This window comes from Homo sapiens, chromosome 12 (genome assembly GCF_000001405.40).
Source record: "Homo sapiens chromosome 12, GRCh38.p14 Primary Assembly".
In the NCBI taxonomy this organism is placed as follows: Eukaryota; Metazoa; Chordata; class Mammalia; order Primates; family Hominidae; genus Homo; species Homo sapiens.
Window position 1 is genome coordinate 51,816,336 of NC_000012.12, and position 14,063 is coordinate 51,830,398.

A 14,063-nucleotide genomic window follows, 5' to 3' on the forward strand; every position below is an offset into this window, starting at 1 on the left:
AGGAAGTTTTCCTGACACCCCACCAAGACCACCACAAGTCAGGATCTTTTCTGGGCATTGTTTGTTTGTTTTGTTTTGTTTTGTATCAGAATCTCCCTCTGTCACCCAAGTTGGAGTGCAGCGGCATGATCTCGGCTCACTGCAACCTCTGTCTCCCAGGTCCAAGTGATTCTCGTGCCTCAACCTCCCAAGTAGCTTGGACTACAGGTGTGCACCACCATGCCCAGCTAATTTTTGTATTTTTAGTAGAGACTAGGTTTCACCATGTTGACCAGGCTGGTCTCAAACTCCTGACCTCAAGTGATCCGTCCACCTTGGCCTCCCAAAGTGCTGGGATTACAGACGTGAGCCACCGCGCCCCCAGCCATTTCTTGGCATTCTTAAGATAACCTGTGCATCCTCCACCAGGGCACTCATCTGGAAATTAGAGGATTTATTCAAGAAACATCTATTCAATGTCTTGTATGTACCAGATAATTGCACTAGGTGTATGAATATAAAGACTACTTTGATGTGGTCCCCCATCCCCAGCAGCTTTATCCAGTTGTATTTTTAAATGATCAATTTCTGAGCTTTTCCCACCTAGACATGGGCTCCAGGAATAGCAGCTGTGCTTGACCCCTTCTGTATCCTCAGTGCCAGGCCCAATGTCTGCACACAGTAAGGTGCAAAATAGAGGAGTGGGGGCAGGTGGGTCTGGACCTCCAAGGGCTGAGAGGCTTGTGGTAATGGACTCTGGGGCAGTGCCTTAGAGCCCCCACCTCCAGGCACACTCACATTTGTGTCCTCTTTGCTTTGCAGGGTCTCCCTGATGCTCACGCTGCCTCCTGTATGTGTGCAGTGAGCCATAGCAGGGAGCCTGGGTGCACTACTCCCCTGTGCTCTTGCGCATGCTCAGCAATCTTGCCTAGAGTATTCAAGGACCTAGGAGCTGTGGGTCCAAATCTCTCACTGACATCTCTACAGAGCTTGTTCAGCAAGTGTTCCTAGGTTGTTCAGTCTCCCAGTTTACGATGAGCTGTCACAGATAGAGTTAGGGGACTGATGGATGGGGGGATGGTAGACAAAGGACACCACGTCACCTGAGACATTGGAACTTGGCCGTCTCCACACCCCGCCCTCTATCCACTTTATCTCCACTGAGAATGGAATACAAGTATAACCCTAGCTCTATTCAATGAAGGCTGCTGCAGGTTCTGGATGGCTCCTCCCTCTCTTCAGCAACCCCCTTCCTCCATGCATTCATTTCTTCACTCATTCAACAAACATGTGAGCCCTTCCTTGCCCCCCTATTTTGTGGCTCTGGGGATACAATGAGCCTGCCCCAGTGCTGAATGTCAGAGCTCAGAACGGCAGGAAGGCCCCTTACCCATGGCTTCTTCCCCATAGCCTCAGTGCCCATTCCTGTAGGTACTCACTGTATCACAGTGAGTCACAGGAGTCCTTGCTCCTTGTTACTAGGGGATTAGGAACACCCCGCCCAGGGCACCAGCATACACAGGTGTCCAGACATCTCCCAGAGGACTCCCACATCCCACTGCCCCCGAGAAATCTTCTGCAAACCACATGTCATCGCTTTAATACTGTGTAATACTTTCTTTTAAAATACAGTCTCTTCTGAGGTAGACAGACCACAACTGCAGAGCATCGTCAGACAGGAGATAAATACGTCCATGTACAACACGCAGCAAAATGAGGTAGAAATGGTTACAGCGGGAGGAGAGGATCCCAGCCCCAGTCTGGGTAGAGGAAGGGGAGAGGCCAGCTCGGAAGTCACCCTCCCCACTCCCTGCCCCTGGATTCTTTGGTATGCCTCCCCCCAGCATTACCAGAGCTGGACTGGCCCTTCCCCTACCTGCCCCAGAGCCCATGAGGTAGGTGCCACTAGGCTGGGGGCAGTCTCCTTGTGCAAAGCTCCCCAAGCCTGGGGAACAGGAGGAGCCTAGTAGAGAAAGCGGTGGGGACTCCACCTCCCAGAGCTCCCTGCCTCTTGAAGGGAAGGCTGGGATCCCACCCCAACTTCCCTGACACCCTCCACCCACCCCCACCCCCCAATACATACACACCTGAGAGAGAACCCCTCACTCCATGCTCCCTCCGAGGGTCTTTTGCAGCCTGCGGCTGTGACCCGGCAGCCCACTGCTTCTGAGGCACCAAAGCCCTGTGGGTGGCTGGCTCCAAAGAGGGGGCCAGAAAGCAACGGGGGTGGGGGGGAACAGAGCAGCCTTCTGGTCAGCACTCCTAGGCCAGCACAGGCCCTGGGTGCCAGGGCCCCTGAAAGATCCCCCCCAGACACCCTCCCAGCCAGGGGGGAGGCAGTAGACTCTAGGAAATGCACGGGCAGGCAAGGAACTGCACAGGAGGCTGAGATGGGAGAGAGAAAAAGTGGTGGTGGGGGGGCGTGTCCCCTGCTTTGGACTAAGATCAGAGTTGTGAAATGGGCTGGGGGTGGTGGGAGCAAACTGCTAAAGCCTCATCAAGGGAAAATTGGTGGGAAGGAGAGAAATATGGTTCTTGGAAGGGTTCCAAGCCTAGTGGAAAGTTCAGGCAGGACTGAGACTAAGCCCCCAAGGTCAGAGAAAACACCCCTGCCCATCTCCCTCACCCTCTCCCAGCCCTGGAGCTCCAGACCTAGGACTCCGGGGGAATGGGGAAGGCACATTTCCTCACAGAGCCCCCACAAGTGAGGGATGCTCACTCCTCCTCAGAGCCTCCAGCAGAGATGGCTGAGGTCCAGTAGCTGATTTTGTGGCCAGACTGTCTACCCAGATGGAATCCTCCTAGCATAAGTCACTGGGGACCTCTGCCAAGGCAGGGCCAGGGGACATGACCTTTCTGGAGACTTTCTGCTTAGGTCACCTTCCCATTTGGGCCCTCCCACCCTACCTTCTGGGTCTCAGGAAGGAATTGGGCAAGGGCATCCTAACTCTGGATAGCCCTTCACAGAAAACACTCAGCGGAGGGGTTGGGTGGGGCAGGGGGTGGGGAGCAGCAGGAGAGGAATAAGGCCTCCCTTCTCTCAAACCCCACAGCCCACTCCCCACATTCATGCCTAGGCCTCGGCCCTGGGGAGGAAGCCCTTAGGAATACATTCTGCTTCTGACCAGGAATAGCTGGGGTTTCACTGAGGCCTCTGGGTCTTCCTCTCCCCTTCCCCGTAAGTCTCATTTTTTGAGTGTCTGGGAGAATTTGGTCCCCTGGATGGAGTGGGGGGGAGGGGGCAGGTGTGAGGGGCACACAGGAGAGCAGCCAAAGTCTAACATTCTTTCTGAGGTCAGTTTCTTCCTGAGTTGTCAAAAGAAAAAGAAAAACAGCAAATTCTACACATTTTACAAAAATAAGAAGACTAAAATATGAAACAAGCTACATTTCTGGGATCTCCCCTCAAAAACAAACAAAAAATTCCCCTTCTTTGGGGACTTTTTTTCCTTGATCCCCCTAGACCCTAGGTTTCAGATGGGTAGAGGGGTAACCCTCCTCCTCAGCCCCTGGGCCTCCAGAGCTCCTGCAAAGGGCCACTGCAGTCCAAATAAGAACAGAAGGCAGGGAAAGGCATTAAAGCTCAGGGACCAAAAGGCCAGGGACGCTGGAGAGCCAGGGATGGAGACAGAAGCACAGAGGGTGAGGGATGGAGAGCTGGGGAGGGAGGGGCAGGAGAGAAACAGGGCCAGCATGGGGTGGGCAGGGGTGTCAGCGACAAAGCAAAAGGGAGAGAAAACCAAGAGAATGCAGAGAATGGGATGGAGAGAGTGAGGGAGAAGGAGGGTGCCATTCAGATAGCGAGGAGACAAAAGCGTTGTGGCAAGAGAGCAGGAGTTCTTAAGGCCCCGGGTGCCAGCCCATGCCGGATCTGCCCGGTCTGCCGGGCGGAGATGGCGAGCTTCCAGTCCACAATAAATAGGAAAAACCTGAGTACACGGCGCATATGGCATCTGCCTGGCAGAAGCATTTTCCTTCCCACGAAAAAAAAAATATCCACCGGCAGACCCCTCCTGTCCCCGATCCCACATTCACCACTCCAGCCCCTGCCAGCCGGGTTTAGTCAGTGACATCCCTCCCACGCGGAGGCGGCGGGGACGGAGGGACTGCGGCTCCCGCGGCCTCCCCCGCGCGCCGTCAGTGTCCGGAGCCGTACATTTTGTCCCACTCCACGAACGAGTCCAGTTCCTTGGCAGAGGCCCTAGGGCCCACCTTGGCCAGCGCCGCCTCCAGGTCCTTGTAGGAGAGGGGGCGCTGCAGCCCCGGGAGGCCCGCCCCGGCCGCCGCCTGCTGGCACAGCTGCCCCAGCTCGCCCCCAGAGAAGCCCTGCGTGCCCTGCACCAGCGCCGCCAGTTCCCGCTCACTGAGCGCGCAGCCCTGCTGGGCCAGCGCCCGCTGCAGGATCTGCCCGCGGGCCGGGCTGTCGGGCAGCGCCACGTAGAAGCGGAGAGAGAAGCGCCGGCGGGTCGCCTCGTCCAGAGCCGCGGGCCGCGAGGTGGTGCCCACAACCAGCACGCCGTCAGCCCCCGCGCCGCAGCCCCCGTCCAGGCAGGCCAGGAGCGGCACCTGCAGCGCGCCCCCTGCCGCCGCGCCGTCGTCCCGGGCGGGGAGCAGCGCCTCTAGCTCGCTGATGAGGAGTACGGAGGGTGGGCGGCAGCGCGCGGCCGCGAAGGCGGCCTGGAGGAGGCGCGCGCCCTCGGCGGCGCCGGGCGCAGCCAGGGTCGCGCCGCGCAGGCGCAACAGCGTGGCGCCCAGCTGCGTGGCGAGGCAGCGGCCCAGCAGCGCTTTGCCCGCGCCCCGCGGCCCAAAGAGCAGGACGGTCCGCGGCGGGCGCAGGCTGCCCGGGTAGGCGGGCGGCCTGAGCAGGGGCCACACCAGCTCCTCCTCCAGCGCCGCCTTGAGCGCGCCCTGGCCCGCCACATCCGCCCACTGCACCGGGGGCCCGCAGTCCACCATCTTGCTCGTCACCAGCTCCAGGGCCCCAGGGTCCACGCCTTTGGGAGTCTCCCCCGACGGCACGGCGAACCCCCCACGAGGAGCCGGGGCCCGCTCCGGGAACTTTTCAAAGGGCTCCAGTTGCGGGCCGTAGACGGGGGAGCCCAGGACCTTGAGGGGGACGCCGCCACCGTACTTGCCCGACGCCTCCTCCGCGGCTCCTGGCGGCTTGGCCCGGAACCCGTTGCCCCGACATTCGCCGTTGTCCGCGGCGGGGTAGGAGGCTCCGTCAGCCACGGGGGCCTTGGCGGGCTCGTACGCGTACTTGCGGTAGCGGCCCTCGGGCCCCTCGTCGGCGGCCTTGCGCTTCAGCGACAGCCCGGATTCGGCACCCGGCGCGGCCGTGGGGAAGCCATAGGCGGTGGGCGGTGCCGGCGCGGGCAGGGGCGTGGGCGCGGGCAGGCCCGGGGTCAGGTAGGGGGCCGGGGGTGGGCCTGGGGGCGGCGGGAGCGCGCCATAGCCGGGCTGCGCTGCGTAGCCCCCTGCGGGATAGTTGTACAGCGGCGCTGAGGGCCCGTACCCCGGAGGCGGTGGGGGCTGCAGGAGCGCGGCCGGGGGCGGCGGGGGCAGCGCGGCGCCCGTCTGCGCGCAGTAACCCGGCGCCAGGTACCCCCCGCCGTAGCCGGCCGCGTACTCGGGCGCCGCCGATGGGCCCCCGCACGCATTGCCGGCGTAGAGGGGTTCAGGGAGGTTCCCGGCTAAAACTGGGGAGCCCCCCAGGGCCCCGGAACCGCCGCCACCGCCCGATTTGGTTCCTGGGAGGCCTTCGTGGAGTGAGGCCAAGGGGTAGGGTGGCTCCGGCCCTGGCCAGGGCTCGGGATCCCCTTTGGCGCCGTTGAGGAAGGAGGCGTCGCTGTACCCGCCCAGGGCCGGACGCTCGTAGGGAGAATCCAAGACCCCAGAGTACTTCTCTGCATAGCGCTTTAGGAGGTTGGAGGCAGTGAGGGCTGAGATGTCGTCGTGTGCCCAAGCGTAGTGGCAGCGTTGGCGACCCCCAGGGGGCAACTCCAACTTGTGGGCCGGCGACGGGGTGGTGGAGGAGACGTCCAGGTGCTGCTCTGGCCACTGGTTGAGGGGCTGGGCGTGTTCTGGTGTCCAGTGCATCTTCAACAGAGCTGCGGGCAAGAGACAGGAGGTCTGGTGAGGTCTAGCCACCGAGGACCCAGTGGGCCACTGCTAGCCATAGGCCAGTCCGCCTAGACTGCGGCTTGGACAGGCTGGGCTTCCGGCATCCACCACCTACCGCCCCACTCTCTTGGGGCCCTCCCTCCAGGCACCAAATACACTTCTTATGTCCCAGGATTAAAGTTGTCTGAAAATATTTTCCTCAGCGCCCAAAGGGGTCTGGAAATGATGTGGTTGGCCCTAACTTCACCTTGTAGGCAATGGTTATTATTTTTGTCCTGGCCACTCCAGCCATGTCCTTTGCAGGACACGTGATCCTTACTTTCTATGAAGGATCGGACAATGGGCGGGACATCCCAGCCCTCGGAATAGTCAAACTCAAGTGAAGCTCGCTCAGTAAGAGATGTTTGTCACCTACCGTGTGCTGGCCACTACAGAGGCACCAGGGTTATGTAAAGAGTTGTATGAGGCCTGCCCAGAGTCCCTGGCCTAGTGACCCAGAAGTTTGTTATTCCTAAATGCTCTGTTCACCTCAGCCCTTCCTGAGATTCTGAGATTCCAAGGCCCCGTGTGGGCCTGAGGTCAGAGATGCTGGCGTGTATGGGACTGCCTTATCCATGGGAAACCTCAGTGGCTGACCCAGAGCATTCATTTCCTTCCCACTTGGTTTTGGCTTCTGCCTGATGAAGTCAGAGCACCTGGATTCCAGACCCAGCTGCATGTAATGGCTGTATGCCTGGGGCAGGTGCTGCCACCTGCTTTATTCCCAATAGGTCTCACCACAATACAAAAATATGTAGAATAAATAGGTCATATGCTGGAGAAGACCGCGGAAAGTTAATATACAACAATGCACATCATAGGATGTGGACCACAGATTTGTCTCTGAGCTTCCCAGTAGCCAAATAGGGAGAGGTCATCAGACTCACTGCAAAGTAAAAAAACACCATTACTCAAAGCAAAAATGTTCCTGTCTTAGAGATCATAGAACTTTTTTTCGTGGTCCTCAGGAAGCAGACCTGTGAGATGTAATAAACAACGTCCTTCTTGCCATCCATGCTGTAAACACAGCGGAGATGTTCCTTGGCTGTTCCTGACACCCCCTTAGCACCTCCCAGCGTGAGCCAAACACTCTGGTAAGGGGATCTGGGGCTTGGGGAATGGTTCTACCCAGGCACAGGGCTCCTGTGGGCCAGCCTGATAAAATATCTCAAAGACTAAGAGGCCCATGGCACACCCAGCAACAGTCGATGCCGATGATGATTTCTCAAAGCTAAACTTTTGATAAGACAAGTTAACAGGTTCACGTATTCTCATAGGTTCAGTATTCTTTCTTCAACGGATTTTTATGGAGCACATTCCAAGTGTTTTGCTAGGCATGGGGAAAGATTGAAAGGTGAATAGGATGGGTCAGTCGGGTGGAGAAGACAGGTAGACAATGGCCTCTGTGAAGTGAGAAAACAGGTATGTGCCAAGGGCACTGGGGCTCAGGGCAACTTCCCAAGGAGGTGGTGCCTTTGCTGGACCATGAAAAGTGAGGGATCAAGTCGACCAGACAGGCTAAAGTGAGCAGGGCATCCCAGATCACAAGAACAACACCTTCAAAGGTGCAGGGCACAGTGCCTTCAGAAAGCCAGGGCTGCGCTAGCTCACGTACCGTATTCCCTTCCTCAAGGGACTTTACTGCCACCTTCTGGAAAGCTCATAAATCTGGTGTCTGCTGCACTGGAATTGTGAATTGTGCCCTGTTGGAAAGGCTTGTGGACAACCTACATAACCATCCATACACTTTGAGTCCATAGAGAACACCAAGAAATGTTGGGTCACCAGAGCTTTGAAAGTGGGTGTATATAGTCGAAGAGGAAGCTGAAGATAACCCGGTGGCTTCTCAGTTCTCCACAGCTGGCCTTCCTAGCAGCAGCTTGTTGACAGCACCCCACCCCTGTTGATGCTCTCTACTTCAGGTGACTGTGACCTGACATCAGTGGGAGAAGACATTTGAAAATAAAGCTATTTACTCTCATCCCCACTGCCCTAGGGAAGGCATGAGCCATAAAAGTGTAGCTTAAAAAGGAAGGTATGTTGAGTTCTTGAGGTTGTCCTGCCCCCATTTGAGAGGTGATGCTGGCCACTGGGCAGGAGGGAGAGCAGAGTAACAGCTGAGTGCGAGGTCCTTGGGGGCAGATATGCAGCCCTCCAGCTCTTGCCGAGCAGGATCTCCAAAGATCAGAGGCATTACCTGGTGTGAAAGAGGGTAATTTCCTGGAACATCAGAAATCACAAATGGTTCTGGCTGCAGAGTCTTAGGAGGTAACATCAAAGTTATTGGCCAGGCTCAGTGGCTCATGCCTGTAATCCCAACACTTTAGGAGGCCGAGGCTGGTGGATCACCTGAGGTCAGAAATTCAAGACCAGCTTGGCCAACATGGTGAAACACCGTCTGTACTAAAAATACAAAAATTAGCCGGGCGTAGTGGCGGGTGCCTGTCATCCCAGCTACTCAGGATGCTGAGGCAGGAGAACCACTTGAACCCGGGTGGCGGAGGTTACAGTGATCCGAGGTGGCACCACTGCACTCCAGCCTGGGCGACAAGAGTGAGACTCCATCTCAAAACAAACAAACAAACAAAAGTTACACAAATGCAAGTATTGTGTTACTATCCAGACCACAAATCTGTTTTTTTTTTTCTATTTACTATTCTGTGCTTTGTTTCCTTACTTAATATGGAAAGAGAGATTTGACCTTGATGATAGCATTTACCCTGAACATATTAAACTGGACAAGCTGGGGAAAAAGAGTGACATCCTACCCACTAAGGGCACAGACACAGTAAATGAAGAAGACTCAGATCTGGACTTGTCCACACACATCTTCCCCACCGCCAGCCCCTATGCTCCTAAAGCTGTCAGTGATGTCCCTCATTGCCCAGACTTTTGGGCCAGGCTCCCTCTCACCAGCCCCTGGCCTGGCCTTCAGCAATCCTTACTGAAACCTCCACCCGCCAACGAAGATCCTCTGGCCCTGGCTGTCACTGAGAACTGCTCCACCTTGGCAACTGTGGACTCCAGTAAGCCACCTCCAGTCCTCCACCCCATCCTGCCAGCTTCATACCCACGAAGTCTCCTCTACTCCACAGCTCAGACCCTCTCGCCCTTCCAGAGAGGGGAACTTGTCCATGACACTCTTTTTTTTTTTTTTTGAGACGGAGTCTCGCTCTGTCGCCCAGGCTGGAGTGCAGTGGCGCGATCTCGGCTCACTGCAAGCTCCGCCTCCCGGGTTCACGCCATTCTCCTGCCTCAGCCTCCCGAGTAGCTGGGACTACAGGCGCCCGCTACCACGCCCGGCTAATTTTTTGTATTTTTAGTAGAGACGGGGTTTCACCGTGTTAGCCAGGATGGTCTCGATCTCCTGACCTCGTGATCCGCCCGCCTCGGCCTCCCAAAGTGCTGGGATTACAGGCGTGAGCCACCGCGCCCGGCCGACACTCTTATCTAGACCACCTGATCTCTACTCTCAGTCTTCATTTGGCCCTTCATTACCTGGCCCTTCCACTCCAGGTAAATTTCCTCCCATTTTAGCCAGGGCAAAAAATGAAGTCATTGGGCAAAGCTCCCTTACCTCTGGCCCTCTTTTTACCTTTATCTACATCTGTATCCATCTTGCACCCAGAAGGCCTCAGGGTCCATCCGCCCCAGTTCTCGGCCCCATCAATTATCCCTCCTAGGTGCTGGGCCCGCCCCCCCCACACAGTTAGCTTGATTAATTCTCATCTTCAAAATGACCTCTCTTGACCCTGGGTTCCCCACTAGCTACCAGCTCATCCCTTTTTCCCTTCTTCCTTCTTTAAGGCATCATTGTCTACATGCAGTGACATGACATCCACTAGAGATCCTTTCAATAATCTAACCAGGGGCCAGGCACAGTGGCTCACGCCTGTAATCCCAGCACTTTGTGAGGCTGAGGCGGGTGGATCACCTGAGATCAGGAGTTCAAGGCCAGCCTAGCCAACGTGGTGAAACCCCTCTGTACTAAAAATACAAAAAAAAAAAAAAAATTAGCCGGGCGTGGTGGCAGGCACCTGTAATCCCAGCTACTTGGGAGGCTGAGGCAGGAGAATATCTTGAACCTGGGAGGTGGAGGTTGCAGTGAGCCAAGATCGCGCCATTGCACTCCAGCCTGGGCGATAAGAGCGAAACTCCCATCTCAAAAAAAAAAAAAAAAAAAAAAATCTAACCAGGAAGCAGGGCACCAGGTCAGCAACTTCTGCTAAACTTAGTTCCATAGCGCTACATTTTCCTTTAACCCCTTCCAAGAGAAAGAACTCAGCTGCCAAAGGACCAGCCCCAACCTAAGGGCGGGAAGAGGGTAGAAGTTTGAGAAGAGTGGGTGAGATTGCCTTACCTGCACACAGGCCCAGAACGATGTCTCACGTGAGTCTGAATACACACCAACATGTATGTGCACACCACCAGGGATGTGTACAGATGTGCGCAGCTGCAGGCACATGTGCATATGTTCATGCCTGTGCCTGGCACGCACATGTTTAAAGTGTGATCTCACTTAGATGCTTCCTGACAGACCCAGGCCTGCCAGGCCTTGCCTTCCTCCCCTAGCCCGCTATAGGTGGAAAATGCTGTCTCCCTGCCCCCACCCCCAGGCCAGTTACAGCCCTCTTGCTCTGACACAGAGACCCTGGGCCTGCTGCCAGTTTGCCTCCCACAGGAGCCTCAGGAAGGATCTCCCCAGGACGGGGACCCCATGTCTCCTGTCCAGGTTCACAAGTCACACTCCAATGATCAGTGATGCTGGAGGTGAGGAAAGGCCCTGAGGACATGGGGGAAAGTATAGGCTTTGAATCCCAGAGACCTAATTTGAATCCAGGCCCAAACACACACTGTGTGACCCTGGGCAGGTTGCCTGACCTCAGTGAACCTCAATTTCCCCATTTCTATTTGTTTTTTTTTTTTTTAAGTAGAGACAGGGTTTTGCCATATTGGCCAGACTGGTCTCAAACTCCTGGCCTCAAGTGATCTGTCTGCCTCAGCCTACCAAAGTGCTGGGATTACAGGCCTGAGCCACTGCACCCAGCCAATTTCTCCATTTGTTAAAGGGCATAACGTATGTCATGTTGAGTGGCAGTGAGGATTTAAAGATAATGTATATAATGGACACAGTCCAGTGTGGGGCACAAATTACAAATTCAGAACCCAAGCAGTGCCCCAACCTTGCTGAGTGACACTAAACAAGTAACTTCTCTTTGGGGCTGGGGAAACTTGGTGAATGTTCTGTGAAAAGAGGTTCCTTCCAGTTCTAATATGACGGGCCAGTAGCTGACGCCATTTCCCCAAAACCCAAGCACTGTGTACAGAACCAGCGCCTGTTCTACGTTTTACATCTCTAATGCAGCCGTCATACCAGCTCTGAGATCAATACTGTTATTGTCATCCCCATCGCCTCCCCAGATGAGGAGACTGAGGTACAGAGATTAACACATCTTCAGGGTCACATGGCTGTTACAGAGTGGAGACAGGACTCAAAGCCCAGGCCCTGAACCACTTGCCTATAAGGGCTCTCTGGCCCAGCCCTTTGTTCTTACAGCCAGAGAATAGCCTGAGTCATTCCACGCTGCACACCTACACTCACCAACACTCACTTCCTGGGCCTGTGGAAACAGTGGCTCTGCCCCCGAGTGCTGTGTATTTACCCTTCAGAGCAGGCAGGAGAATTTGTGTCCCCTCCCGGTAAAACGCCCAAGTAGAGCCTGTCTTTCCCTGTGAAGGGCCATCAGATAACCAGACACACCCCTGGGCTGGGCACACAGTTCCTTATTTGGGTTTTGTGGTTTTCCCAGGTGGTAGCTGGGACTCTGTGGAGAAAACACTCTCTCTCTCAAACTGCCTGGTTTGGGGAGCAAGGTATTGTTCCTGCGGCAGCTCTTTCTCTGCAGACCTTGAAGGTGAAGTGCTGCTGTGCACATAGGAAGCTGGAACCCCGCTTGACTCTACCCACAGGACGAAGTCCTTCAAACTCACAGGCAATCAATCAATAGTTACGGAAAGAATTACGGGATGGAAGAGTAAAGTCATTCCTAAAACCCCTCCCCTCATTTTTAGGAAGTCTTACAAGGTTCATGAGAGATGATTCAGCCTTCACAGCTGGCCAGAACACTCAGGCACCTATCTCCCCCGTGGTCCTGCTGCCCTCGGGTCCTGTGGGTGCCTCTCCCATCCCTGAGGACCACAGGCTCTCCATGCACAGGGCCTGATGCAGGCAGTAGGTATCCCCCCAGGCCACCCTGGCTTCCTGGGGCAGCAAATGCCCTGAGCTGTCACTCTGTGATCATGGCCAAGACATGAGTTAACCTTACTAAACTCCACTTTCTTCATCTGTCCATTGAGACCGCTGGTTTAGATCAGTGGACCTCTAACCTTCCTTTCTCATTAGAAACACAAATAAATTTTTTACAGGGTGAGGTAGGAAGAAACCCCAACAACACAGCATCAACACCCTCCTCCAACCCCCGAAGGAGACCCCCAAGATTCCTTCCGGATCTTCCAGAAATTCTCTGATTCTGGATTCCGTCACCCATAGGGGAGGGAAGGGATTGGACCAAACTGGGCTGGGGGCAGGGTAGGCAAGGAGGGGCAGCTGTGAGTCGGCTCCAGGCCGGTGTGGAGAAGGGGCCATGCCTCTGGGCAAGCCTCCTCTGAGCTCCATTATCTCAGCCTGGAACAAAGAGGCTGGAAGGGAGAATCCCATTGTCGGCCTCCCTTATGGAAATCTCATTTATCTATTCACCAAGGCTCCCACAGGCCTTTTGTCCCAGGCTTTTTGTCTGCTGCTTACAACGGGTGCCCCAGGGGGTCTCTGGCTGCCTGGCAGAGCTTGAACAGGACTGTGCCCCCTCCTCTAGGCCCTCTCCCTCATGCCAACCCCCCAGTTATTGCAACAGGAGAGGAGAGGGAGGGGTAACAAGGGGACTCTGGAAGACTGGTCACCTGCCACAGCCCTGGCACCTACCATACAGGAACCTCTTTCCCCAGTTCTGGGCCAGAGAATAGCCTTCAAAACCTGCCTGGGGGCTGCCCTAGAGCTGGCAAGGGGCCTAGCATGAGTAGGGCTCAACACATGTTTAGGGATGAGCTAGAGGATGCCATGGGGTGGCTGCATGATTCTTCCTTCCATGATACCTTGAGTGTGCCAGCCACTGTGTGCCAGCTATGACTCCCGGCTTGAGAGGCAAACCAGACCACATTGGGACCCATGCCTGCAGACTTGATCAGCTAACAGGGAAGAGAAAACAAAGTGTTTCCTCAGAAAGGAGGGAGGGAGGGAAGGGAAGAGAGGAAAAAAGAAGGAAGGAAGGAAGGGAGAAAAGGAAGGAAGAGAGGGAGGGAGAGAGGGAGGAGAAGAAAGGAAAAAAAGGAATGAAAGAGAATGGGAAGGAGGAAGGAAGGAAGAAAGGGTCAAAAGACAAAATTTCAGGAGGAGTAAGTTCAAGAGATCTATTGTTAAATATGGTGACTAGAGTTAATAAAAGTGCATTGTATACTTGAAGATTACTGAGAGTAGGCCTGGTGTGGTGGCTCATGCCTGTAATCCTGGCACTTTGGAAGGGTGAGGGAGGCGGATCACCTGAGGTCGGGAGTTCGAGACCAGCCTGGCCAACATGGTGAAACTCCATCTCTACTAAAAATACAAAAATTAGCCGGGTGTAGTGGCGGGTGCCTGTAATCCCAGCTACTTGAGAGGTTGAGGCAGGAGAATCGCTTGAACCTGGAAGGCGGAGGTTGCAGTGAGCTGAGATCGCGCCACTGCACTCCAGCCTGGGCAACAGAGCCAGTCTCCATCTCAAAAAAAAAAAGAAGAAGAAGAAAATTACTGAGAGTAGATTTTAGGTGTTCTTACCACAAATAAGTATGTGAGGGAATGCATATGTTAATTAGCTCAATTTAGCCATTCC

The 14,063-nt window shown here is 55.3% G+C and overlaps 1 protein-coding gene across 5 annotated transcripts in view, besides 4 other annotated features; it reads right to left on the reverse strand.

Annotated features, from left to right (window-relative positions):
- Positions 1 to 1,563: 1,563 nt before the first annotated feature.
- Positions 1,564 to 14,063, reverse strand: part of FIGNL2 (fidgetin like 2) — a 30,820-nt gene continuing 18,320 nt past the window's right edge. For all 5 annotated transcript variants that reach the window (NM_001384995.1, NM_001384996.1, XM_017019299.2 and 2 more), the window contains one exon: positions 1,564 to 6,089. In NM_001384995.1, coding sequence (NP_001371924.1) covers positions 4,117 to 6,078 — 1,962 coding nt within the window. In that variant the 5' untranslated portion in view covers positions 6,079 to 6,089 and the 3' untranslated portion in view covers positions 1,564 to 4,116. The remainder of the gene's footprint in view (positions 6,090 to 14,063) is intronic.
- Positions 4,537 to 4,636: a silencer, noted in NCBI's record as "silent region_4474". NCBI's record gives its function as "represses an Ori minimal core promoter by ATAC-STARR-seq in GM12878 lymphoblastoid cells {active_cell/tissue: GM12878}" and the evidence as "EXISTENCE:reporter gene assay evidence [ECO:0000049][PMID:35858748]".
- Positions 10,241 to 10,741: an enhancer, noted in NCBI's record as "H3K4me1 hESC enhancer chr12:52220360-52220860 (GRCh37/hg19 assembly coordinates)". NCBI's record gives its function as "activates a minimal SCP1, AML or CMV promoter by ChIP-STARR-seq in naive H9 embryonic stem cells {active_cell/tissue: H9 hESC(naive)}" and the evidence as "EXISTENCE:reporter gene assay evidence [ECO:0000049][PMID:30033119]".
- Positions 11,415 to 11,966: an enhancer, noted in NCBI's record as "H3K27ac-H3K4me1 hESC enhancer chr12:52221534-52222085 (GRCh37/hg19 assembly coordinates)". NCBI's record gives its function as "activates a minimal SCP1, AML or CMV promoter by ChIP-STARR-seq in naive and primed H9 embryonic stem cells {active_cell/tissue: H9 hESC(naive and primed)}" and the evidence as "EXISTENCE:reporter gene assay evidence [ECO:0000049][PMID:30033119]".
- Positions 13,069 to 13,618: an enhancer, noted in NCBI's record as "NANOG-H3K27ac-H3K4me1 hESC enhancer chr12:52223188-52223737 (GRCh37/hg19 assembly coordinates)". NCBI's record gives its function as "activates a minimal SCP1, AML or CMV promoter by ChIP-STARR-seq in primed H9 embryonic stem cells {active_cell/tissue: H9 hESC(primed)}" and the evidence as "EXISTENCE:reporter gene assay evidence [ECO:0000049][PMID:30033119]".